General features: G+C 47.6%; 1 protein-coding gene and 1 pseudogene across 2 annotated transcripts in view, besides 22 other annotated features; both read right to left on the reverse strand.

The window, feature by feature from the left end:
- Positions 1-17789, reverse strand: part of SLC23A2 (solute carrier family 23 member 2) — a 157956-nt gene extending 140167 nt beyond the window's left edge. Inside the window, exon 1 of one of the 2 annotated variants that reach the window (NM_203327.2) lies at positions 17658-17789. The gene's annotated coding sequence lies outside the window, so the exon portion shown is untranslated. Of the gene's footprint in view, positions 1-8881; positions 8987-17657 lie in introns of those variants that run through there. The other variant, NM_005116.6, reaches the window with a different exon arrangement.
- Positions 5974-6474: an enhancer, noted in NCBI's record as "H3K4me1 hESC enhancer chr20:4979144-4979644 (GRCh37/hg19 assembly coordinates)". NCBI's record gives its function as "activates a minimal SCP1, AML or CMV promoter by ChIP-STARR-seq in naive H9 embryonic stem cells {active_cell/tissue: H9 hESC(naive)}" and the evidence as "EXISTENCE:reporter gene assay evidence [ECO:0000049][PMID:30033119]".
- Positions 8502-8661: a silencer, noted in NCBI's record as "silent region_12651". NCBI's record gives its function as "represses an Ori minimal core promoter by ATAC-STARR-seq in GM12878 lymphoblastoid cells {active_cell/tissue: GM12878}" and the evidence as "EXISTENCE:reporter gene assay evidence [ECO:0000049][PMID:35858748]".
- Positions 8852-9091: a silencer, noted in NCBI's record as "silent region_12652". NCBI's record gives its function as "represses an Ori minimal core promoter by ATAC-STARR-seq in GM12878 lymphoblastoid cells {active_cell/tissue: GM12878}" and the evidence as "EXISTENCE:reporter gene assay evidence [ECO:0000049][PMID:35858748]".
- Positions 8875-9073: a promoter, noted in NCBI's record as "delta6 P2 promoter fragment". NCBI's record gives the evidence for it as "EXISTENCE:reporter gene assay evidence [ECO:0000049][PMID:16380174]".
- Positions 8969-8995: a protein binding site, noted in NCBI's record as "Inr". NCBI's record gives its function as "positive regulation of promoter activity" and the evidence as "EXISTENCE:protein binding evidence [ECO:0000024][PMID:21335086]".
- Positions 8984-9008: a protein binding site, noted in NCBI's record as "GC box 1". NCBI's record gives the evidence for it as "EXISTENCE:protein binding evidence [ECO:0000024][PMID:21335086]".
- Positions 8997-9024: a protein binding site, noted in NCBI's record as "GC box 2". NCBI's record gives the evidence for it as "EXISTENCE:protein binding evidence [ECO:0000024][PMID:21335086]".
- Positions 8997-9024: a protein binding site, noted in NCBI's record as "GC box 2". NCBI's record gives the evidence for it as "EXISTENCE:protein binding evidence [ECO:0000024][PMID:21335086]".
- Positions 9019-9047: a protein binding site, noted in NCBI's record as "GC box 3". NCBI's record gives the evidence for it as "EXISTENCE:protein binding evidence [ECO:0000024][PMID:21335086]".
- Positions 9019-9047: a protein binding site, noted in NCBI's record as "GC box 3". NCBI's record gives the evidence for it as "EXISTENCE:protein binding evidence [ECO:0000024][PMID:21335086]".
- Positions 9053-9082: a protein binding site, noted in NCBI's record as "GC box 4". NCBI's record gives the evidence for it as "EXISTENCE:protein binding evidence [ECO:0000024][PMID:21335086]".
- Positions 9053-9082: a protein binding site, noted in NCBI's record as "GC box 4". NCBI's record gives the evidence for it as "EXISTENCE:protein binding evidence [ECO:0000024][PMID:21335086]".
- Positions 9382-9531: an enhancer, noted in NCBI's record as "active region_17504". NCBI's record gives its function as "activates an Ori minimal core promoter by ATAC-STARR-seq in GM12878 lymphoblastoid cells {active_cell/tissue: GM12878}" and the evidence as "EXISTENCE:reporter gene assay evidence [ECO:0000049][PMID:35858748]".
- Positions 10316-10967: an enhancer, noted in NCBI's record as "H3K27ac hESC enhancer chr20:4983486-4984137 (GRCh37/hg19 assembly coordinates)". NCBI's record gives its function as "activates a minimal SCP1, AML or CMV promoter by ChIP-STARR-seq in primed H9 embryonic stem cells {active_cell/tissue: H9 hESC(primed)}" and the evidence as "EXISTENCE:reporter gene assay evidence [ECO:0000049][PMID:30033119]".
- Positions 10968-11618: an enhancer, noted in NCBI's record as "NANOG-H3K27ac hESC enhancer chr20:4984138-4984788 (GRCh37/hg19 assembly coordinates)". NCBI's record gives its function as "activates a minimal SCP1, AML or CMV promoter by ChIP-STARR-seq in naive H9 embryonic stem cells {active_cell/tissue: H9 hESC(naive)}" and the evidence as "EXISTENCE:reporter gene assay evidence [ECO:0000049][PMID:30033119]".
- Positions 17504-17769: a promoter, noted in NCBI's record as "delta7 P1 promoter fragment". NCBI's record gives the evidence for it as "EXISTENCE:reporter gene assay evidence [ECO:0000049][PMID:16380174]".
- Positions 17504-18005: a biological region, named in NCBI's record as "SLC23A2 promoter P1". NCBI's record gives its function as "regulatory_interactions: SLC23A2".
- Positions 17588-18005: a mobile genetic element.
- Positions 17616-17645: a protein binding site, noted in NCBI's record as "E box 2". NCBI's record gives the evidence for it as "EXISTENCE:protein binding evidence [ECO:0000024][PMID:21770893]".
- Positions 17751-17778: a protein binding site, noted in NCBI's record as "TSSC YY1 site". NCBI's record gives its function as "positive regulation of promoter activity" and the evidence as "EXISTENCE:protein binding evidence [ECO:0000024][PMID:22532872]".
- Positions 17827-17855: a protein binding site, noted in NCBI's record as "Y box". NCBI's record gives the evidence for it as "EXISTENCE:protein binding evidence [ECO:0000024][PMID:21770893]".
- Positions 17844-17873: a protein binding site, noted in NCBI's record as "E box 1". NCBI's record gives its function as "important for promoter activity; blocked by cytosine methylation" and the evidence as "EXISTENCE:protein binding evidence [ECO:0000024][PMID:21770893]".
- Positions 20949-21200, reverse strand: RPS21P7 (ribosomal protein S21 pseudogene 7; annotated as a pseudogene).

A 25237-nucleotide genomic window follows, 5' to 3' on the forward strand; every position in this document is an offset into this window, starting at 1 on the left:
GGAGACGGAGTTTTTCGCTCTTGTTGCCCAGGTTAGAGTGTAATGAGGCGATCTTGGCTCACTGCAACCTCCACCTCCCGGGTTCGAGTGATTCTCCTCCCTCAGCCTCCCGAGTAGCTGGGATTACAGGCATGTACTACCATGCCGGGCTAATTTTGTATTTTTAGTAGAGACGGGGTTTCTCCATGTTGGTCAGGCTGGTCTGGAACTCCTGACCTCAGGTGATCTGCCCACCTCGGCCTCCCAAAGTGCTGAGATTACAGGCATGAGCCACCGCGCTTGGCCAACAGACTTGAATTTAAGTCAAGGCATAGAAAAAAATATTTGCAAAGTAGGACAAAAAAATGCAAATCTTAACACAGGTTGAGTATTCCTAATTCAAAAATCCAAAATTTGAAAGGATCCAAAATTTGAAAGGCTCCAAAATTCAGTACTTTCTGAGTGCCAACAAGACACTCAAAAGAAAATGCTCAGCCTGGCGCAGTGGCTCATGCCTGTAATCCCAGCACTTTGGGAGGCCGAGGCAGGTGGATCACGAGGTCAGGAGATCGAGCCCATCCTGGCCAACACAGTGAAACCCCGTCTCTACTAAAAACACACACACAAAAAATTAGCCAGGCATGGTAGCGGGCGCCTGCAGTCCCAGCTCCTAGGGAGGCTGAGGCAAGAGAATGGCATGAACCTGGGAGGTGGAGCTTGCAGTGAGCTGAGATCGTGCCACTGCACTCCAGCCTGGGCGCGCCACTGCACCCCAGCCTGGGCGACAAAGCAAGACTCCGTCTCAAAAAAAAAAAAAAAGGAAACGCTCACTGAAGCATTCTGAATTTCAGATTAAAAAATTAGGAATGCTCAACTGGTAAGTATAGTGCAAATATGCCAAAATCCGAAAAAAAAAAAAGAAAAAAAGAAACCCAAAATCCAAAACACTTTCTAGTCATAAGCACTTCGGAGAAGGTATATTCAACCTGTACGTGTTTCTCAAGCAGGTCAAGATCAAAAACAATGTATCTAGTAGCATCAACTTTACTCAAAGAACATGGAAGAAAAATGTTTTATATTAAAACAAGCACTGATGTTTCTGAAACAGAATGAGAAATTCACATTAATTTTAGATAAAACAGAAGAGACTTAAAAGAAGTGTCATGCTTGTTATATTCCAAACACTTTTAAATATGCATACATTCCCCCATATCATGCATCTGTGGAAAAATTTGTGAAGCAATGTCTATAAATATAAATATCAAAAAAGCTCTTGATAAGAAATATATGAACTTGGGCTGGGAACAGTGGCTCACGGCTGTAATCCCAGAACTTTAGGAGGCTTGAGCTCAAGAGTTCGAGACCATCCTGACCAACACAGGAGACCCCCATCTCTAAAAACATAGTGAAACCCTGTCTCTACAAAAAATACAACAATTAGTTGGGTGTAGTGGTACATGCCTGTAGTCCCAGCTACTCAAGAGGCTGAAGTGGGAGGATCTCTTGAGCCCGGGAGGCAGAAGCTGCAAGTGAGCAGAGATCTCACCACTGCACTCCAGCCTGGGTGACAGACCCTGTCTCAAAAAATATAGATACATGAATTCAATAGAAAATTCTCAGCACTGACCACATATACCTTACTGTGAAGCAGGATCACCAAACTTTTTCTGTAAAGGGCCAGAGTTACATGGTCTCTTGAGTGAGCTTGGCTGTGTTGCAATTAAACCTTATTTACAAAACCAGATGCTGGTGATGCCTCCACCAGCAACATCCCTGTCACCTGAGAACTTGTGAGAAATGCACATTTTCGGGGTCCACCCTAGATCTTCAGAATGAGATCCATGTTTGACAAGGAAGGTGTTGTAGTTAGCCCCCAGCTAGGTGATCTGCCTTTGGAGACAGGAAATGATTTTAGCCAGCCCTGGAGAGGAGTCAATAAAGCCAAACCGAATTTGAGGCTGAAATCCCATCTAAAGTAGAATGTATAAGAAATTGTGTTGGCCAGGTGCGGCGGCTCACACCTGTAATCTCAGCACTTTGGGAGGCTGAGGCAGGTGGATCACGAGGTCAGGAGTTCGAGACCAGCCTGAACAATACGGTGAAACCCCGTCTCTACTAAAAATATGAAAATTAGCCAGGCGTAGCTACTCAGGAGGCCGAGGCAGAAGAATCGCTTGAACCCATGAGGCGGAGGTTTCAGTGAGCCGATATCGCACCACTGCACTCCAGCCTGGGCGACAGAGCAAGATTCCGTCCCCAAAAAAAATATGAAAATACAAAAATTAGCCAGGCGCAGTTGCAGTGACCGTAATCCCAACTACTCAGGAGGCTGAGGCAGGAGAATCGCTTGAACCTAGGAGGTGGAGGTTGCAGTGAGCCAAGATCGCACCATTGCACTCTAGCCTGGGCAACAAGAGCAAAACTCTGTCTCAAAAAAAAAAAGAAAAAAGAAAGAAAGAAAGCAATTGTGTTTCCTTCATGAAGACTGAGGACACAGCAGTGCTTTCGGTCTGAAGCAGGGTGGAGAAGACCCTCAGAGTCACAAAGCCAAGAACTCTGAGATGAAATGATGGTCCAAAATGAAAAAGCTTATTCAAATTTAATTGAATGGAGCTGGGGGTATGTATATATTCACTTGAACAAAGGAAAGCCAGTGGGGGGAAAAAATGTGTGAGCGTTGAGGTGGTGGGTAGAAGATTCCTACAGGAACAAACAAGGGAATTGACAGAAAGAATCCAAGCTAGGGTGCATAAAGGCAAACACTGTAGCCAGGAATGAACCACAGGCAAACAAGGCAGGAGCAAGAGGAGACGGTCCTGCTCCCATTCAGCCTCAGCCTCCTCCCAGTGCACCCTTTACTCCACCCCAAAATTTTCTAAAATGCACATCTGAACAAGTCACTCCCCTTCTGGGAATCTCCCCGTGCCTTTCCAGACAAAGATTCAAGCCCCATAATACAGTATCAAAGGACCTCTCCACCTGACCCCCATCACATCCTCAGCATCCTTCCAACTGTCCTAACTCAGTTACCCTCTCCCAGTCACATGCCTCTCCTGCTCCACCCTTTGCTCACACTGATCCCTCGATCTGGAATGTCATTCCCAACTTCTGTAGCCTAACCCTACTTTCTATCCCAAGTCCCCAAAAGTCATCCTGGAACACAGCATGATTAGAGTCTAACTTCGAGCTTGGCAACTGACCGGCCTAGGGTCAAATCCTGACTCTACTTGTCAGCGCTAAGACCCTAGGCAAGAAGCTGCCCTCCTGCCACACCTCAGCATCCTCAGCTGTAGGATGAAAAGCGTTAATACCCAGCCCACAGGGCTGCAGAGACTGATCAACGTGAAAGAACACAGGAGTGCTGGGCAGAGCTCCCTGGCACTCAACTGACACTGGCTTCTCTGCCCTCTTCTATACTAACGAGAACTTAGAAACCCTGAGTTTCAGATGAGAGCTGGGAATAGTGTTCTACAGTGGTTTAATGGAACAGAATTCAAGACTCAGGAATTAACTTACAGAAGTTACCCAAGACTTCATCAATAAATGAAGGACCAGAAGCCACCTTGCCTGCCAGTTGCTAGGACTAGCAATAATAACCTAAAGTGCCCAATGCATAATCAATACCTATGGGCACCATCACTGTTTCCTTGGCCCTATCACATGGGGCTCTCTTGTCTTTCTAGGGTCCCTTCTATTGCTTGGAGAGGGTCCAACAGAGAAGCGCACCTTATCAAACTGCACTTCCATTCAACTTAGAAGATAGAGGGATTCATCTCTGTAAGAGTTACACACATAGATGGATGACCTCCACCAGGTGCTCAATGAGATGATGCCTTTGGGAAGGAAGCCCGAGCCATCAGCTGCTTTGAGCAAAACTCATGAGTGGGCAAAACTCATGAGTGGGCCAGGCACGGTGGCTCATGCCTGTAATCCCAGCACTTTGGGAGGCCAAGGTGGGCGGATCACGAGGTCAGGAGTTTGAGACCAGGCTGGCCAACATGGTGAAACACCATCTCTACTAAAAATACAAAAATTAGCCGGGTACAGTGGTATGCACCCATAATCCCAGCTACTTGGGAGGCTGAGGCAGGAGAATCCCTTGAACCCGGGAGGCAGAAGTTGCAATGAGCCGAGGTCACACCACTGCACTCCAGCCTAGGTGACAGAGCAAGATTCCATCTCAAAAAAAAAAAAAAAAAAAAAAAACAACAACTCATGAGTGAAGATTTTCCTGATCACTGACCAGAGAAAACCACTCTCCTTTAAGGATGGAATTTCCATAGAGGGCCTTAGAGACACCTAGATCTGAGGTCACAGACTTGGCTGAGGTCACCTGAGGTCAAAGTCGAAAATTGGGACAAAGGACAATGAGAAGCTCCCAAGATTTATATTTCCATTGAGGATGACCTTCCCCAAAAATCTCCACCCTTGCTTTTCTGCTGCATTTGGGTATGCTGGGTTGGCATCACAACTTAACATGGCCTAAACCAGCTCCTCCAGCATCTCAGTTAATGGCCTCTTTCTTTCTAGGTGCTAAGACCAGAACCTCGGAGTCCTCCTCAGTTTTCTTTCTGGTTCATCAGCAAATCTCAACCTCACCTTGAAATCCCACTAGTCTCCCCTCAGCCCTGCATTCTGGCTGGTCTCCTTGCTGTCCTGCCTTCAATCTGTCTCACACAGCAACGCCTAGAGTGTGCTTGCTAAAAGCTAGATCAGTCCACCTCCCTTCTTTACTCCAAAACCCTCCAATGGCTTCTACCACCCTCAAGGTAAAATCTACCAGCCTTACAGTGGTCCGCATGGCCTTACATGATCTGACCCCCATGGTTTCTCTGACCTCAAGACCAAATTCTCCCCTCCTCCTGCCTCAGGGCCTTTGTATCTGCTGTTTCCTCCCCTCAGAATGATCCTTCTCCCAGATCTCCACATGCCTCACTCCCTACACATCTTTAGTTAAAAATGACTCAAGCCCTCTGCTATGAACTCAACTGTATCCCCCACCACCACCGAAAGAATTCATTATATTGAAGCCCTACCCCCACAATGTGGCTGTATTTAGAGATAGAGCCTTTAGGAGGTAACCAAGTTTAAATGAGTTCTTAAGGATGGGGCCCTGATCCAATAGGAAAACTTTATTTTTTTAAACAAAGTAGCTTTGTCACCCAGGCTGGTGTGCAGTGGCACAATCATGGCTCACTGCAGCCTCAACCTCTTGGGCTCAAGCAATCCTCCCACCTCAGCCTCCTGAGTAGCTGGGACTACAGGCACTACTACCACGTCCAGCGAATTTTTTATTTTATTTTATTTTATTTTGTAGAGACAGAGTCTTATTATGTTGCCTAGACTGGTCTCAAGTGATCCTCCTGCCTCAGCCTCCTGAAGTGCTGGGATTACAGGTGTGACCAACAGTGCTTGAACAGAAAGATAAATGGCACCAAGAAAAGGCCATGTGAGGACTCATCAAGAGGATGGCCACCTACAAGCCAGGAAGAAAGCCCTCACCAGAAACTAAAGAGGCCAGAACCTTGACCTTGGACTTCCCAGACTCCAGAATTATACGAAACAAATTTCCGTTGTTTAAGCCACCCACACTGTGCTATTTTTGTTATGGCAGTGTTAGCAGACTCATATACCTTCCTCCCTGTCTACCCTTCCAAAAATATCAACTCCCATCCCCACACTTAATCCCCCGAGCCTTGTCAGATTCCTCTTCACAGAACCAGATCTCATTGTCCACATCCCTACAGTGTGGGCTCCATGTGGGCTGGGAATCTCCCTGCAGCATCCCAAGCACCAAGAATATTACCCAGCACAGATCAGGCACTCAATGTAATAAATGTATGAAAGGCCTATGAAAGGTGCAAGCTGAAAGCAGACCTCAATTACAGGAGAGCCAAGAACCTAGAACCTGTGACGAAATAACAGGTTCAAAATAGCAAAGCCACAGAGAAAATGAGAAGAACGGCATAGCGCACAAAGGGCTCGTTTCAACCTAGAGGCTGCAATGCACAGCTTAACCTGGAGGAGGATGGTTCCCTACAGAAAGAATAAAAGCAAGCCCAGAGAACAACTGGAGGAATAGCAGGGCATGAAAATGAATTAATGAGGTGAGGTTACTGGGCACTGGGAACCAACAGACTGGTGTGTGAGAGTTTTATGGGCAAGGCCAGGAAACGGTTCAGGAAGGACTGTAAGATGTTTAAATTTAAAAAGCCTAAGAGGATTAAATATAAATACGTTTTTAAAAAGCTTCAATTTACATGTACAAAGCACCATATAATTTCAAATCATTACTGTTGATCTTTTTTTTTTTTTTTTTAGGAGACAGTCTCACTCTGTCACCCAGGCTGGAGTGCAGTGGCACGATCTCGACTCACTGCAAACTCCACCTCCCAGGTTCAAGCGATTCTCCTGCCTCAGCCTCCTGAGTAGCCGGAAATACAGGCATGCGCCACCATGCCCGGCTAACTTTTGTATTTTTAGTAGAGACGAGGTTTCACCATGGTGGCCAGGCTGCTCTCGAACTCCTGAGCTCAAGCGACCTGCCCGCCTCAGCCTCCCAAAGTGCTGCGATTACAGGCATGAGCCACCATGCCCAGCCCCGGCCTACTGCTTTTAATTACCTTAACCAAAATGGGAAAATTCCTCAAGCTACCAGTGGTACCAGAATATAGGTCCCCAAATAGATCCCTGGTTTGTCTTTAGAGACACTGAAGAGGACAACAATAGCCAATTCGGGATTTCAAACACCCCACAAACTAGACCTTAGGCTCTGTGAGGGCAAAAGACACAGTTTATTCAACAACGATCTGTTCAACAGAACCTGGTCACCAAGTGGATGGATGGATGGGCAGACACAGATGGACAGACTACTCAGTGGGTGGCTACATGTGCTTGCCTGCCCCGGGACACATGACTCACTTCTGCAATGCTACATAGACTAGAGTTTGCTCCATCAATGAGATAGATAGTATGGCATGAAACCTAGCAAAACCATCTACATTTTTCTAGCCAGGTACTGGTTTTTTTTAAGCTGGCCGCCATACTCAGCTATTTTTTTTTTTTTTTTATAGAAACAGGAGTCTTGCTGGGTTGCCTAGGCTGGTCTTGAACTCTTGGCCTCAAACAATCCTCCCACCTCAGCCTCCCAAAGTGCTGGGATTACAGGTGTGAACCACAACACCCGGCCCAGGTACTTCAATAGGCATTTTTTAAACATGTCAACAGATGTTTAAACTTAATTGACTTAATTGACCGTGCCACAGTCAGAGAATACAACTGCCAGACAACCATCTAAAATACTGTCAACATAAAAAGTTCCTGAAATACCTATTGTCTTAAAAAATCACCCTCCACTCTAAGCAAAGAAACCAAAAGAGAAATGCCTTGGTATTAAAAGAAAGAAGCTGGTTGCCATTTTGGCAAAGGAAATAGCCTAGAAAGCAGATACCTCATGCTCAGGATGTCACATGGAACAGGCTGGACACACCTGCTGCCTCCCTTTAACTAGCAGGTGTGCCATGAGAGCTTACACTGGGCACACCCACTGGTGCCCAAAAGCCATTAAATTGGGGATGAATGAAAAGAGAACAGTAGTAATACGTTCATAAGTGACCCTGATAGAGCCAACCATAACCCAGCACAGAATTCTGATTTTTTGAGCTGAAAAGGGCCCTTTATACATCTCACCAGGTTCAAACACCTTCAGGGGAGGCAGGCAACGTCACCTGCAACGGTGAAAAAGGCAGGTGTAGACAACCAGAAACGGTGAGGCCCAAACCCAACAGCATTCAAATACAAAAGCATAAAATAAAAATGCTCCAGCCACCCCAATTCCAGCCTTTTGCTTCAGAGAGGACGAAGCCGGCTGAGGGAGGTCACATGGCCAATTAGTGACAGCTCAAACCAGACTGCCTCCGGACTCCCAGTCCCATGTCCTCGCACATCCCGGGGCCTTCTCTGCGCGCAGATGACCCAATTGTCAGCAGGGACTGCATCTTCCCCCGCCCGTCTCCCAGCACTGCAAGAATAGAAGTAGCACCTACTACAAACGCTGCAGACCCAGAAAGCCCTTATGGGTGACTTTCTTCCACCTGCAGTTGCCCTCATTTACCCTTTGCCCTGACAATCGATAATTTCCCATCAGTCACGCTTAAACCCCCAGCCTGCAGGCCGACATCCTATCAGCCACCCATCCAAGGGGGGGCATCTAGGACCAAACGAAGGAGAAAATCCTGCGCCTTAAAGTAGTCACACTCGAAATGTCATTTTTTCCCCCCGAAAGGTGGCAAGGAGGGGGACTCGCGACCCCCCAGGGAACAGGCCAGAAAGGCCCCGGGGTCGGAGGAGCTGCTTCTAAAATTACTTCGCGCAGTCTTTGTAGAAGGGAAGAAAGCAAGAATGTAAAAGGCACCCTCTTGCCGCCCCTCCTGATGCCCCTGAATTCCAGGGGGCGAGACGATGCCCGTGCGCACCACCGGGGGAGGGGCGAGGGAAGCGACCCCAGGACGCGCGGGCGCAGAGCCCGGGAGGAGGCGGCGGCAGCCAGTGGGGTTCTGGGGGCGCCCCATTTGCCTCCCCGCTGCGCGGCCTGAGGGCCCGAGCGCGCTGTGGCTCCCGTGGCGGGAAGGGGTGGGTACCCCGGGGGCCCGGCCCGGCCGGCAGAACGGCAGGAGCTGAGGGCCGCCGGGCATCTTGGGCCCCGGGGCCAGGGTGGCCGGCGGGCGCGGGGTCCCGGGAGATGGGTCGGGGTGGGGGCGCGCAGGCCGCGCCGCGGGGCCGGTGGGTGACAGCGCGCGGGGGCCGTGCCAGGCCGGCCTCGTGGGCGCGGCGAGCACCTCGCGGCCCCGCCGGCAGGTGCGGCCCGCAGGCCGGGCAGGGGGCGCGGCGGCCGGGCTCTCACCTGGCTGCAGCTCGCGTGGTTCCCGTCCTGCCGCCGCGCCTCGGCGCCGCAGTGCCCGCTGCAGCCTCCGCCTCCGGTCCCCGCGACAGCCGCCTGCAAAATGGCGCCGCGGAGGGGCGGGCCGGGGGCGGGGTGCAGCGGAGCCGCCCGCCCCCGCGCCGGTCTGGGGCCCACCTCCCTCCCCGCCCCCGACCCCTGCCCTCGGGCCTCCCCCCGGGGAGGGGCTGCTCCCTGGCACCCGGCAGCGCTCCCCGGAACATCCCGGGCCTCGCACCCAGCCGTCCCCTTCCCGTTCCTTTCATTTCCCTCCCCTGCGCAGAAAGATCGCCCCCCTTCGCGACCCTTCCCACCAGTCACACCTGTTCCTGGGGACCCACCTGGCAAGCAGAGCGCTGGTCCCTGAGTGTCCTGGTCCAGGTCCCCCCTTTTTACCCCGCCTGCCACCGAGCCCTGTCATTGCTCGAGCGTGATAAGCAAGCAGTTTGTGGTGCATTGGGCTCAGTGGGTTGGATGTTTTAAAACAATTTCACCGCTTCTCCACTTAGGTAGCCAGTTTTTTTAACCTAACTGGAGAAGAAGTCCTTCTTACCTCATGCAGAGATCGTAATACAGACCAAGGCTTTTCAGACGTGAATTCTCTGGGGGTCGTGTTAGGCTAGGGGCGGGTTCACATTCAGTGGCTCTGGGGTGCAGCCCAAAAGTCTGCACTTCTAAATTGTCCCCAGGTGATGCCCCCGGGTGAGGTTCTTGGACCGCTAAGCAGAAAGGCCAAGTGTAAATCCCTGGCCCTCGGTCTTAGAGCTGGGCAGCCTCACTTTGAGGACTTCATTAAGATGCAGATGGCTGGGCCCCACCCCCAGAGTTGCTAAGGCTGGAGGTCTGGCGTGAGGCTCCAGAATCTGCATTTCTGCCAAGTTCCCAGGTGATGCTGATGCTACTGGTCTGGGGACCACACGTATTGAGCCACTGCTGAAATCTGAATACAATTTTTTAAATGTTCTAATAATTAGTACTTTCTTAACACCTTCCATCTTGAAACCGTTGTCATGGTTGCTTTACTAACTGAATGATAATGTACTAGTTCCCGGGCAACTCTTGAGAAACAGAATTGTAGACGGTGTCTGTCTGACCTCACATGGAGAGAAATTGATTTTATAATCAGAATTATTTATGTGTTTTACACAGTTTTGGAAAGTGACATCACACATATTAATGCAGTTGGGGGAGCAGCAACTAAAGGAATTTTATGAAATAGGCAAGTGTGGTCTGTGTCTTGACAATAATGTGTCTTCCCATTTATTTATCTAATAACTGCATTTTTATTTGCTTATATTTAATTTTTTAGAGACAAGGTCTCACTCTGTCACCCAGGCTGGAGTGCAACGGCACAATTAAGGCTGCAGCATCAACCTTCCAGGCTCAAGGGATCCCCCAACCTTGGCCTCCTAAGTAGCTGGGATGACAGGACCACACCACCAGGTCCAGCTAAGCTTGGTTTTATGCGTCACGGGCGCCCATCCTTAACCTTGACAAAATGAACCTTCTAATTTGACTGAGACCTGTCTCAGATATTTGAAGTTCACAATCCCTACTGGGATTCAGTAAGTAGGGAAAAGAAAGTGTTGGATTGCAAAATTCAATAATGTCGAATGTTTTGATCCCCGTTGAAGATGGAGAAAATAAAAAACAAAGATGCGGCCGGGCGCGGTGGCTCAAGCCTGTAATCCGAGCACTTTGGGAGGCCGAGGCAGGCGGATCACGAGGTCAGGAGATCGAGACCATCCTGGCAAACACGGTGAAACCCCGTCTCTACTAAAAATACAAAAAAATTAGCCGGGCGTGGTGGCGGGCGCCTGTAGTCCCAGCTACTCGGGAGGCTGAGGCAGGAGAATGGCGTGAACCCGGGAGGCGGAGCTTGCAGTGAGCCGAGATCGCGCCACCGCACTCCAGCCTGGGCGACAGAGCAAGACTCCGTCTCAAAAACAAAACAAAACAAAACAAAAACAACAACAACAAAAATGCTGTGACCAGCACCCAGAGAAAAACTCACGCATTGCCCCGTAACCATCATTCTACACCAGTGAGAGCATAGAGCGTATTCCAGCCAACCTTTTTTTTTTTTTTAATACGATGTGTTTGCTTAGCAAGGAATGTGGAGTCTTCTGATTAGAAGGGAAGGGAAGTTCCAGGGTCAAGACCCCCTGAGCTTTTAAGTCTATCCCCTCCCCATCGTTATTCCATGAACTGTGGAATCTTCAGTGTCTCCCTCTCCCTCTCTAGGCATTTACCATTTTTCTCTATCCTGAAAAACCTTCCATAGTCCCAGTCTGCCCAGCCGTCCTGCCTGCCTTCCTCTGCCCAACCTCCCCTGCCATCACCCCTCAGGCACTGTCCCTCCCTGTTTTATCAGATGTCATCTGTGACCTTCTAATTGCCAAAACCAATTACAGGTTTACAGTCCTTTTCTTCTTTGATGGCTCTGTAACAGTCCACTGACTTCTCACTCGAAATTCTATTCTTGTGATAATACCACTGTTTCTTGCTAACTATCCATACACCCCCCTTCCCTCTCAGTGATGTGAGTTTCTCAGACTCCAGTCTAGAAATGTTAGTTTCCCCTCATATCTCCTTTCTCCCCTGCCCTCTCCTTCTCTAACCCCCTCTGAAGGTCAGCCATCTCCTCGTGGTTCCCAAACCTCTCTCCCTAGACAAGACAGACATCTTTCTGAACTTGTAGACACATTTCCAATTGTCCCTTGAACAACCTGCCCTGAATATTCTCCAGGAATTGCAAATAATCTCCACTATTGATGCATTATTTTCTCCCATAAACTGGTTTCTTATCTGAGTTCTCTCATTTTGCTACCAGAAACTTCAAACTGGTCTTTGAGTCCTTGCCCCATAGCCTACATGTCCACTCTGTCACCTGTGGTCAAGCTGGGAAGTATTTCTGAAATTCTCTTCTCATCCAACACAGATACTGACCCTCACTGGCTCTTTCTTGGACTGTTAACCATCGAAAAAGTTTCTCTCTGGCCTGTTGGACTCAAGACTAATCTCCTGAAACTATCCTTGTTATCATCCCAGAGCACAGAACTGATAATCTCACACCTTTTCTGAAAATCCTTCAGGGCCTCCCAGTCAAAAGGATAATTGGAGACCAGGCACAGTAGTTCACACCTGTAATCCCAGCATTTTGGGAGACCAAGGCAGGAGGATCGCCTTTGCCAGGAGTTTGAGACCACACTAGGCAACATGGGGAGACCCCATCTCTGAATAAATAAATAAATAAATTAATTAATTAAAAGTTTAGGCCGGGTGCGGTGGCTCACGCCTGTAATCCCAGCACTTTGGGAGGCCGAGGCAGGTGGATCACCTGAGGTCGGGAGTTCGAGACCAGCCTGACCAACATGGAGAAACCCTGTCTCTACTAAAAATACAAAATTAGCCGAGCATGGTGGCGCATGCCTGTAATCCCAGCTACTCAGGAGGCTGAGGCAGGAGAAGCGCTTGAACCCAGGAGGTGGAGGTTGCGGTGAGCCGAGATTGTGCCATTGCACTCCAGCCTGGGCAACAAGAATGAACTCCGTCTCAAAAATAAATAAATAAATAAATAAATAAATAAATAAATAAAAATTTAATAGCTAAATAAAGAAAGAATAAACCTTTCCCAGTGTAGCATTCAAGGCCCTTAATCTCTAGTCTCGGCTTCTTTTTCTTCTTTTTTTTTTGGAGATTTTACTGCTGACAAACTGGCTTTGGTATCAGCAGATAGCTCTGACTTCTGTCTTTCAACGTCTTACAAGGATTAAATGTATATAAAGTGCTTATTCAGTGCATGAATATGTAGGTGTTCGATATCATTATTTTTACATAATTATTTTTACCATTATCATCAATTAAAAAAATACATCAAATTTTTCCTCTTCAGTTGCTTTTCCTTTTATTTTCCATTCATCTTCCTTTCTATTACAGCTCATACAAACAAGGTTTTTTTTTCCTCCTCCCTTAACTTCTCTAAACTAAATCAGCAGAATATATCAAGAACGTTTCATGACCTGGTTAATTTGATTGAAATTTCAGTCATTTCCAGGCTGTGTTATTTTTGAGAGGTAATTGTAGCTTGGGGCTATTCCATCTTCATACAGTACTTTTCAATGTTATTTTCAACATCTCTCTGGAGTCTAGACCTGGGGCAAACGTTTTCTGGAAAGAGCTAGATAATAAATGTTTTAGGTTTTGTGGGCCAAGAGGTAAAATTGATGACATTATATAGGTACAGTACTTATATAATGATAGGGGCCAGGCGCCGTGGCTCACGCTTGTAATCCCAGCACTTTGGGAGGCCGAGATGGGTGGATCACTTGAGGTCAGGAGTTCGAGACCAGCCTGACCAACATGGTGAACCCCGTCTCTACTAAAAATACAAAATTAGCCGGGCATGGTGGCGCATGCCTGTAGTCCCAGCTACTTGGGAGGCTGAGGCAGGAGAATCACTTGAACCTGGGAGGTGGAGGTTGCAGTGAGCTGAGATCGCACCATTGTACTCCAGCCTGGGCAACAAGAGCGAAACTCCGTCTCAAAAAAAAAAGGTGACAGTACTTATATAATGATAGAAAACAAATTTCCACAGATTTCTTATTGATGAAATTCAAAATATAATAATGATTGAGCATAATATATTTTTTTGTTTGTTTTGTTTTGTTTTTTGAGATGGAGTCTCACTCTGTCGCCCAGGCTGGAGTGCAGTGGTGGGATGTTGGCTCACTGCAATCTCCTCCCTCTGAGTTCAAGCGGTTCTCCTGCCTCAGCCTCCCGAGTAGCTGGGATTACAGGCGCCTGCCACCGCACCCAGCTAATTTTTTGTATTTTTAGTAGAGACAGGGTTTCACCATCTTGGCCAGGCTGGTATTGAACTCCTGACCTCTTGATCCATCTGCCTCCGCCTCCCAAAGTGCTAGGAATTACAGGCGTGAGCCACCGTGCCCAGTCATATTGAGCATAATATTTTTATAATACAGGTCTACTAATGAAAATAATAGAATTTGGGGGGTGGGGAAAATAAGATTTTGCTTACTTGGGGTTCAAAGTTAGTCTTTCCTATCATCAAATTGATGGCAAATGTTCATCTGTAAAAGCCATTTTATTTATTTATTTATTTATTTATTTATTTATTTTGAGACGGAGTCTTGCTCTGTTGGCCAGGCTGGAGTGCAGTGGTACAATCTTGGCTCAAGCAATTCTCCTGCCTCAGCCTCCCAAATAGCTGGGATTAGAGGTGTTTGCCACCACCCCCCACTAATTTTTGTAATTTTAGTAGAGACAGGGTTTCACCATGTTGGCCAGGCTGGTCTCAAACTCCTGGCCTCAAGTGAACCACCTGCCTTGGCCTCCCAAAGTGCTGGGATTATAGGAGTGAGCCACCACTCCTGGCCTGCACCATCTCTTGATGTCAGCAGAATTCACACTTTCTACATCTGTCTCATACTAAGACATAACAGATCTAGGGCTGCGTGGCAGGACCAAGACCTGCCTGAAATGACGTGTGTGTGTGTGTGTGTGTGTGTGTGTGCGTGCGTGCGTGTTCAATGATGTGCATTGAAGCATTGTTTCAAGTAGCAAAACAAAAACAAAAAACCTGAAAACAACCTAAACATCCATCGATCAGGGAATGGCTGAATGATCTATGAGATAGGCACCGTATAGCATGTATACCACGTAGGCTTCTCCCCACTCCACCGCCAGGCTTGCTTTTATTTTTTTTGAAATATAATTCATGTACCCATAATACTCCCATTTTAAGGTATACATTTTAGAATATATCATTTAAAGTAAACAATTGTGGCCATGCCTGGTGGCTCACACCTATAATCCTAGCACTCTGGGAGGCCGACACAGGTGGACCACTTGAGGTCAGGAGTTGGAGACCAGCTTGGTGAACACAGTGAAACCCTGTCTCTACTAAAACTACAAAAATTAGCCAGGCATGGTGACATACACGTGTAGTCCCGGCTACTTGGGAGGCTGAGGCAGGAAAATCACTTGAACCTGGGAGGCAGAGGTTGCAGTGAGCTGAAATCGCACCACTGCGCACCAACCTGGGCAATAGAGCAAGACTCAGTGTCAAAAACAAACAAACAAAAAAAGTAAACAATTGTAAAGTATACAATTTGGTGGTTTTCAGTATGTTCACAAAGCTGTACAAGTACCACTAATTTTAGAACATTTTTATCACTCCTAAAAGAAACTCCATATCTATTAGCAGTCATTTCCTATTTCTCCTCTTCCCCCAGCCCCGGCAACCACTAATCTTCACTCTCTTTCTATGGATTTGACTATTCTGAACATTTAGTATAAATGGAATTATATGAATTATATACTAATATGTGGTCTTTTGTGACTGGCTTCTTTCACTTCCCATGTTTTCAAGGTTCAACTACATTGTAGTGTGCTTCAATATTTCATTCCTTTTTTCATTGTGATAAAATATATGTATAATAAAATTAACTTTTTTTTTTTTTGAGACAGAGTTTTGCTCTTGTTGCCCAGGCTAGAGTGCAATGGCATGATCTTGGCTAACTACAACCTCTGCCTCCTGGGTTCAGGCGATTCTCCTGCCTCAGCCTCCTGAGTAGCTGGGATTACAGGCATGCGCCACCACACCCGGCTAATTTTTGTATTTTTAGTAGAGATGGGGTTTCACCATGTGGGTCAGGCTGCTCTCGAACTCCTGACCTCAGGTGATCCACCTGCCTTGGCCTCCCAAAGTGCTGGGATTACAGGTGTGAGCCACCACGCCCAGCCAAAATTTACCTTTTTAACCACTTTTAAGTGTACCACTCAGTGGCATTAAGTGCCACTCCAGCCTGGGCAACAGAGTGAGACCTTGTCTCCCCCACAACCCCCTACCCCTTGAAAAAAGAGAGCGTTTAAATGCACACACCCTGAACTCAGAATGTTAGTTCTGGAATCTGTCTGACACAAAAGCACACTGGTGGGCACGGATCTATGCCCAAGGGGCTCAAAGAAGCAGGGTTTGCTTCTGCCTCCTCCACCCCAGTTCACTCTGCAGCTCCGGCAGATCTGAAGCCCAGCTAATGGAAGTAACCTCTTACCCTCGAATGACCCCAAATTCCTTACCTAACCATTCTCCCCTACTCCCAGCAAATAACCTTGCTTCCTGATTTTTGGCAACTGGTCATGAGAAGGGCATTTCCTCATCCCCCACCTCCCCTTATCCACGACCCCACTTTCCCATGAGGGACCTCTCTTCCCTGCCTCGAGTACTGAAGACCCCTCCTTTGGGTGTCCTCCATATTTCAATGCTGACCTCCCTTTCTTTATTTTTTCTTAAGATGGGTATGTTGCCCAGGCTGGTCTCGAACTCCTGGGCTCAAGTGACCCTCCCGCCTCAGCCTCCCAAAGTGCTGGGATTGCAGACATGAGTCACCACGCTCGGCCCTACCACCCTTGTCTTTGGAAAGTTTACATCCTCCCAGTTCCCACAATCATCTCCCCTTCTCAGCTCAGCTTCTCAAAAAAGCCACGTACAGTATTTATTTCCTCCTCCTCACTTCCTTCCTCCCTTTACCCCAGGCAATCTGGGCTGCATTCTTGTATTCCTCTGAAACTGCCCAGGTAAATTAGCCATGCCCTCAAAATTGCACAATCCAGGGAATCTTTTGCATATGCATCTTAATTTTCTGGAGGCATTTGGCACAGCTGTATTCTCTCAGGATAATCTCTCTTCTTTTGACTTTGTGACTGCATTTCCTAGTGGTTCTTCTACTTCTCTGACTGTATTTTTTTCTTTCTTCTCAGATTCTTCTTCCTCCTGCTCCCTTCAAAAAAGGTGTTGGGGATAAGGAGAGTGTGGCTATGTCCATTTCTGTTGTCCCTGCAAAAGCTCCTCAAGGCCATCACATTTCTACTGCCTGGATCTCCTTAATGTCCTCTGGATCATTCTTGCTCAGAAAGTCCCACCTTGGCCTCTCCTGGAACCACCCCGAGTCCCTAGGCTGGTGCAAGTATACTCCCTCCATGCATCACAGCATTTAGAAAGAAATGTATGGAAATAAGTTGTTTTTCTGTTTCTCTCCCTCACTAATTGTCAGTGCATCCAGGGCAGAGGTCTTGGTTTATTTAATTCTGTATGCCAGCTCCTCACGTGGTGCCTACCACACAGTAAGTTCTCAGTTCGGTTACTACTGAAGTACTCAGTTAGTACTCAATGACTTTACTTGTTCCACCAAACCAACAGGGGCTGCCCGCTGATGAGAGGTGAAATGCGAAGGGAAAGAACTCAGGATTAACCCCCAGGGTTCTGGAGAATTGGAAACTGAATTAGTCAAGGTTCTCCAGAGAAACAGAACCAACAGGATATATAGAGGGATATATAAAAGGATATGGGCCAGGCGCGGTGGCTCACGCCTGTAATCCCAGCACTTTGGGAGGCCGAGGCGGGCGGATCATGAGGTCAGGAGATCGAGACCATCCTGGCTAACGTGGTGAAACCCCGTCTCTACTAAAATTACAAAAAATTAGCCGGGCGTGGTTGCAGGCGCCTGTAGTCCCAGCTACTTGGGAGGCTGAGGCAGGAGAATGGACTGAACCCGGGAGGCGGAGCTTGCAGTGAGCCAAGATCACGCCACTGCACTCCAGCCTGGGCGACAGAGTGAGACTCCGTCTCAAAAAAAAAAAAAAAAAAAGAGGATATGAAAGAGGGGATTTATTGCAGGAATTAGCTCACGTGATTCTAAAGGCCAAGAAGTCCCACCGTATGCCGTCTGCAAGCTGGGGAACCTGGAAAGCTGGTGGTGTCCTTCACCCTGAGTCTGAAGATCTGAGTTCCTGGAGCTGTGATGTCCAAGGGCAGGAGAAGATGAATGGCCCTGCTCCAGAAGAGGGTGCAAATGTGCCTTCGCCCTGCCTTTTTGTTCTGTCTGGACCCACAGTGGATTGGATGATGCCTGCTCACGTGGGTGAAAGTGGAACTTTTCTGTCTACTGATTTAAATGCTTATCTCTTCTGCAAACACCGTCCCAGTCAGACCCAGAAATAATGTTTTACCAGCTATCTGGGCATCTCTTAGCCCAGACAGGTTGATACATATAATTAACCATCAGATAAGCCAAGTGGAAAACATAGGTTACAGGCAAAACACAGAAGGCTCCAGTGCCAGGGTATAGAAATGAGACTTTTGGGTTGGGCACTGTGGCGCAGACATGTAATCCAGCACTTTGGAAGGCTGAGGTGGGTGGATGGCTTGAGCCCAGGAGTCTAAGCCCAGCCTGGGCAACATGGTGAAACTCCGTGTCTATATAAAATACAAAATTAGCCGGCCGCGATGGCTTACGCCTATAATCCCAGCACTTAGGGAGGCCAAGGCATGCAGATCACCTGAGGTCAGGAGTTCAAGGCCACCTGGCCAAGATGGTGAAACCCCATCTCTACTAAAAATACAAAATTAGCCATGCGTGGCGGCATGTGCCTCCCAACTACTCGGGAGGTTGAAGCAGGAGAATCACTTGAACCCAGGAGGCGGAGGTCTCAGTGAGCTGAGATTGCACCATTGCACTACAGCCTGGGCAACAAGAGCAAAACTCCATCTCAAAAAGAAAAAAAAAAAATTAGCTAGTCATCGTGGTGCACGCCTGTAGTTCCACCTACTGGGGAGGCTGAGGTGGGAGGATCATTTGAACTCGGGAGGTGGAGGTTGCAGTTAGCCGAGATCGCGTCAGCCTAGCAGGCTGGGAGACAGAACAAGACCTTGTCAAGACAGAAAGAAAGAAAGAAAGAAAGAAAGAAAGAAAGAAAGAAAGAAAGAAAGAAAGAAAGGAAGGAAGGAAGGAAGGAAGGAAGGAAGGAAGGAAGGAAGGAAGGAAGGAAGGAAGGAAGGAAGGAGGAAAGGGAGGGAAGCTTTTTTCAATAAGGGAATTTAACCTAGACCCTCATGGACACACTTAGTCTTTGAGGGGGAAATAAGGAAAAAGGACAAAAATCTATCAGTAGTTATATAAAGTAGAAAAGAGGTTGAATGGGAGGGACAGGTAAAATGAAAAGAAAAAGAAAAGAGTTTCAAACAGGAAGTGGATGACAGCAAATTTGTTTTGTTTTGTTTTGTTTTTAAAGAAAAGAGGCAAACAAAACTGTTGGAATTTGGGATACTGTCACCCTCTGGGGGCATAGTGACTAAGCAAAGGCACAGGGGTCTTCTGAAGAGCTGGCCATGTGTGATGTCTTGCTATGGGTGCTAGGCACACAGGCATATTCACTTTGTGAGATTTCATTAACCTGCACACTTAAGTGTGTTTCTCTGTATGTATACTACAAAAAGTTGTTTTTTGTTTTTTTTTTTGAGATGGAGTTTCCCTCTTGTTGCCCAGGCTGGAGTGCAAAGGCACAGTCTTGGCTCACTGCAACCTCCACCTCCCAGGTTCTAGCGTTTCTCCTGCCTCAGCCTCCCGAGTAGCTGGGATTACAGGCACCCACCACCACGCCTGGCTAATTTTTGTGTTTTTAGTAGAGACGGGGTTTCTCCATGTTGGCCAGGCTGGTCTCAAACGCCTGACCTCAGGTGATCCCCACCTCCCCCCGCCCCGTCTCAGCCTCCCAAAGTGCTGGGATTATAGGTGTGAGCTACCGCGGCTGGGCTTGTTCCCTGTTTCAAACAGCTTGGTCTCTGTCTGAGGTGGGGCCTGGGGCACAAGAAAAGGCTCAGGGTCTTGAATGGGTCCCAGGTGCTGTCTCCAGGAATGTGTGCCTTAGAAAAGAGGGATGTGTCTGTACTGCAGGATGTGAAGGTTTAAGTTTGAATATTTCTTTGATCCTAGAATAAATGAGTTATACACCTCATGCAGCCTTGGCGAGAAAAGGCACAGGGTCCCTGGCCTGCCTCTGCCTTGCTCAGTGACCTTGGGGAAATCATATAACCAAACTACATTTAGGTTTCCTAGTATGTAAACTTAAGACAATTTCGTCTGCCCTATCCACTGCCTAGGTTGGTATGAGGATTAAATGAGGTAATTGATGTGAACGTGCTTCCTGCAGATGTTTTTTTATAGCCCTTTACAAATACCATATAAGAAGCCTAATCTAGCTGTAGAATTGAGCCCACAATTGGTTTTTGAGCCATAATATCAAACACTCAGTCTTTCCCTAGGTGATATTTTTCCATTCTCTGTTTTTGATAAGGTCTCTAGTTTGTAAGGTCACTTGGAATTCGAGTCCTTTGTGCCCAGAGTGTTGGCTGCACCACTAACTCACCTCCTATAAGTTAGTACAGACACTCTTCATTGGTCATGTGCTACCTGGCAGGCACTGAGCTAGACACCACTGACAAAATGATGGATAAGAAACTTACTGGGCAGGACACAGTGGCTCATGCCTGTAATCCCAGCACTTTGGAAGGCTGAGGCGGGTGGTTCACCTGAGGTCGGGAGTTTGAGACCAGCCTGATCAACATGGAGAAACCCCGTCTCTACTAAAAATACAAAATTAGCCAGGCGTGGTGGTGCATGCCTGTAATCCCAGCTACTCGAGAGGCTGAGGCAGGAGAATCGCTTGAACTCCAGAGATGGAGGTTGCAGTGAGCCAAGATCACACCATTGTACTACAGCCTGGGCAACAAGAGCGAAAATCTGTCACAAAAAAAAAACAAACAAATGAACAAAAAGAAACTTACTGGCCAGGCGCAGTGGCTCACTCCTGTAATACCAGCACTTTGGGAGGCTGACGCAGGCGGATCACTTGAGGTCATGAGTTCAAGACCAGTCTGGCCAAAATGGTAAAACCTCGTCTCTACTAAAAATACAAAAATTAGCCAGGCATGGTGGCGTGCGCCTGTAGTCCCAGCTACTTGAGAGGCTGAGGCAGGAGAATTGCTTGAACCCGGGAGGTGGAGGTTGCAGTGAGCCAAGATCATGCCACTGCACTCCAGCCTGGGCAACAGAGCAAGAATCCATCTAAAAAAAAAAAAAAAAGCCAAACTTACTAGGTCTGCCCCCAGTGAACCTGCATGCTGGTAGGTATGGGAAGACAGAAGAAGGGTCGGGCACAGTGTCTTAAAAAAGTTATTTGAGACAATGCCATCAGCAATGCCATCAGCATTGGACGATGGGAGAATAGATCATCTCACTTGCCCATTCTTCAAATGGCCCCACCGAAAGCATAGGTTTTAAACTGGCCATTAAACCTGCTCGTGACTTTATCAACCTCAGCCACATTTATCCGGATGGAGGTGTAGTCTTTGATGCTGATGATGCAGTTGCTGGTGGAGCATTTCATATACGTCCACAAACTCACTAGCATTATTCTGCATGTTGAGGCCACACCTGTTGCCACCACACCTCATATGAGCAGATAAAGCACTTAATTATTTTTTGTTTATTTCTTGGCTGCCATCTCATGTCGTAGAACACAAGTCCACCGAGTACCAGGAGCCCCGCCAGGTGTTGGTTATGCAGTGAGTTATCTTCTGTCTTCCCATACCTACCAGCATCCGGGCTCTTATATGCTTCCTCTCGGCCTCCCAAAATGTTGGGATTACAGGCATGAGCCACTGTGCCTGGCCTCAAATAACTGTTGACTGGAGAGCATATTGAATGTGGAATACTTGTCATAAATAAATAGTGAAAACCTAAAAACAATAATTATTATTACTACGTTAGTGATAAATTTAAAAAGAACAAGAGGAACAGGCTTTGATCGAACTTGGCAGGCAACTTAGGTAAGAAGATAAAGGATGAAGAAGGTGACATTATTGCTGAGACTCAGCCAAGCCAATTATGCAAAGACCTGGGAGAAGAACATTTCAGGAAGTACAATAGCAAGAGCAAAGGTCCTGAGGCAGGAAAGAACTTGCCATGTTTGAGGAATTGAAAAGCAGTCAGTGTGACTGGAATGTGGAAAGTAGGAGGGAGAATGGGATGAGATGAGATTACAGAAAAGGTAATGAAGGGGCCAGGAAAAGCAAGCCTCCTAAATATGATGGGGAGTCAGTAAAGGGTTTGAGCAGGGGTTTATGTTTTGTTGTTGCTGTTACAGGGTCTCACTCTGTCGCCCAGGCTGCAGTGCAGTGGTGTGATCATGGCTTGCCGCAGCCTCGAACTCCTGGGCTCAAGCGATTCTCCCACCTCGGCCTCCCTAGTAGTTGGGACTGCAGGTCCGTGCCAACACACCTGGCTTAATTTTTAATTTTTGTCCAGATGAAGTGTCCCGGATTCTGCTGAGAGCAAAATACAGAACAACAGCAACAACAAAATAGAAACAAAGAGGACGAGCATGGTGGCTCACACCTGTAATCTCAGGACTTTGGGAGGCTGAGGCAGGCGGATCACAAGATCAAGAGATGGAGACCATCCTGGCCAACATCGTGAAACCCCGTCTCCACTAAAAATACAAAAATTAGCTGGGTGTAGTGGCGTGCCCTTGCAGTCCCAGCTACTTGGGAGGCTGAGGCAGGAGAATCACTTGAACCCGGGAGGCAGAGGTTGCAGTGAGCCGAGATCGCGCCACTGCACTCCAGTCTGGTGAGAGAGTGAGACTCTGTCCCAAAAAAAAAAAAAAAAAAAAAAAAAAGACAGAAAGAAAAAGAGCAAGATAAAACAAAACAAAAAATTAAAAACTTTTTTTTTTTTTTTTAGATAAAAGGACATGGCATCTCCCTGTGTTGCCCAGGCTAGTCTCAAACTCCAGGACTCAAGTGATTAACCTGCCTCGGCCTCCCAAAGTGCTGTGCTGAGATTATAGGTGTGAGCCACCCACCATGCCTGACCTATTTGGGTTTTGAGAAGATCTCTTTGGCTGGGGAGGGAGAATGGATTGAAGGGGCCAAGTGTAAAGCAAATAGAACAGGAATTACAGGAGTTCAGGTGGAAGACAGTGGTTTGGCCTAGGGTAAGAGCAGTGGAGGTGGAAATAAGGAGCAAATTCAAGATATACTTTTATTTTTTTAAATTTTTTTTTTTTGAGACGGAGTCTCCCTCTGCCACCCAGGCTGGAGTGCAGTGGTGCGATCTGGGCTCACTGCAAGCTCTGCCTCCCGGGTTCAGGCCATTCTCCTGCCTCAGCCTCCCAAGTCGCTGGGACTACAGGTGCCCGCCACCACACCCGGCTAATTTTTGTATTTTTAGTAGAGACAAGGTTTCGCCGTGTTAGTCAGGATGGTCTCAATATCCTGACTTCGTGATCCGCCCGCCTCGGCCTCCCAAAGTGCTGGGATTACAGGTGTGAGCCACCACGCCCGGCCGTTTTTTATTTTTATTTTTATTTTTTATTTTTTTTGAGACGGAGTCTCACTCTGTAGCCCAGGCTGGAGTGCAGTGGTGTGGTCTCGGCTCACTGCAACCTCCGCCTCCCGGGTTCAAGTGATTCTCCTGCCTCAGCTTCCCAAGTAGCTGGGACTATAGGCGCGTGCCACTACACCCGGCTAATTTTTTATTTTTAGTAGAGATGGGGTTTCTCCATGTTGGCCAGGCTGGTCTTAAACTCCTGACCTCAGGTGATCCACCGGCCTCAGCCTCCCAAAGTGCTGGGATTACAGGCGTGAGCCCCCACACCCAGCCTCAAGATATATTTTAAAGACAGGCTGGACATGGTGACTCATGCCTGTAATCCCAGCACTTTGGGAGGCCAAGGTGGGCAGATCACTTGAGGTCAGGAGTTCGAGACCAGCCTGGCCAACATGGTGAAACCCTGTCTCTACTAAAAATACAAAAATTAGCCAGGCATGGCAGCACATGCTTAAAGTCCCAGCTATTCGGGAGGCTGAGGCGGGTGAATCACTTGAATCCAGGAGGCAGATGTTGCAGTGAGCCGAGATCACAACACTGCACTCCAGCCTGAGTGACAGACCGAGACCCTGTCTCAAAAAAAAAATAATAAAAATAAAAAAAGATAATACTGACAGTGCTTGCTAATAGGCTATACATGGAAGATGAAAAAAAAGAGGAATCAGGATAGCTTCATGGTTTGGAGTTGGGCAGCCAGGTGGACGAGGGGCCATTTTACAGACCAGGGGCATGGAGGGAGATGCAGTTGTGATGGGGGACAGCCTAGGAGACTTCCATCTGTGACAATCCCAGAGGAATCATTGGGTAGGAAGTTGAATATCTGCATCCAGATTCATTCACACAGGCACAGGGAGGAGACTGGGCTAGGGTTATGGTTATGTACATGGGAGTCATCAACAGTATGTAATATTTAAAGCCAAGAGATTCAAAAGGATCATCTAGGGAGAGCGTGCAGATGGAGAGCGCTAAAAGCGCAGGAAGGAGCCCCTGAGAACTCCTTCAGCAAAGGAGACTGGGAGTAAGCGGAGAGAGGATAGTGCATGGAGAGGACACCGGATGCTGGAGGACATCATCTTCATCATTGACGGGACCTTCGCCAATAACACATGCCACAGAAATTAGTACTCACCCAGATAAAGGGAGTAAAGAGGAAAATGATGGTGCAAAACTGCGTTCATGGCCGGGTGAGGCAGCTCACACCCGCCGTCTCAGCACTTTGGGAGGCTGAGGCAGAAGGGTCGCTTGAGTCCAGGACCTTGAGATTAGTTTGGGCAACATAGGAAGACCCTGTCTCCTTCTCTTTTTTTTTTTTTTTTAATTTTTTGTTTTGTTTTATCTTGCTCTTTTTATTTTTTAAATTTTTGTTCTGTGTTTTGCTCTCTCAGCAGAACCAGGGAGAGCCCATCTTAACAAAAATTTAAAAATTAGGCCGGGTGCAGTGGCTCATGCCTATAATCTCAGCACTTTGGGAGGCCGAAGCGGGTGGATCACTTGAGGTCAGGAGTTCACGACCAGGCTGGTCAACATGGTGAGACACCGTCTCTACTAAAAATACAAAAATCAGCCAGGTGTGGTGGCACACACCTTTAATCCCAGCTACTCGGGAGGCTGAGGCAGGAGAATCTCTTGAACCTGGAAGGCAGAGGTTGCAGTGAGCCAAGATCGTACCACTGCAATCCAGCCTGGAAAACAAAGTGAGACTCTGTCCCCAAAAAAAAAAAAAAAAAAAAAAAAAAAAGGCCGGGCGCAGTGGCTCACACCTGTAATCCCAGCACTTTGGGAGGCTGAGGCAAGTGGATCAACTGAGGTCGGAAGTTCAAAACCAGCCTGACCAGCAGGGCGAAACCCTGTCTCTACTAAAAATACAAAATTAGCTGGGCATGGTGGTACATGCCTGTAATCCTAGATACTCGGAGGCTGAGGCAGGAGAATCGCTTGAACCTGGGAGGCAGAGTTTGCAGTGAGCCGAGATTGTGCTATTGCACTCCAGCCTGGGTAACAAGAGCGAAACTCCATCTCAAAAAAACTAATAATAGAATAAAATTCCCTAGAAGCAGATCTGAGA

This window comes from Homo sapiens, chromosome 20 (assembly GCF_000001405.40).
Source record: "Homo sapiens chromosome 20, GRCh38.p14 Primary Assembly".
NCBI lineage: Eukaryota > Metazoa > Chordata > Mammalia > Primates > Hominidae > Homo > Homo sapiens.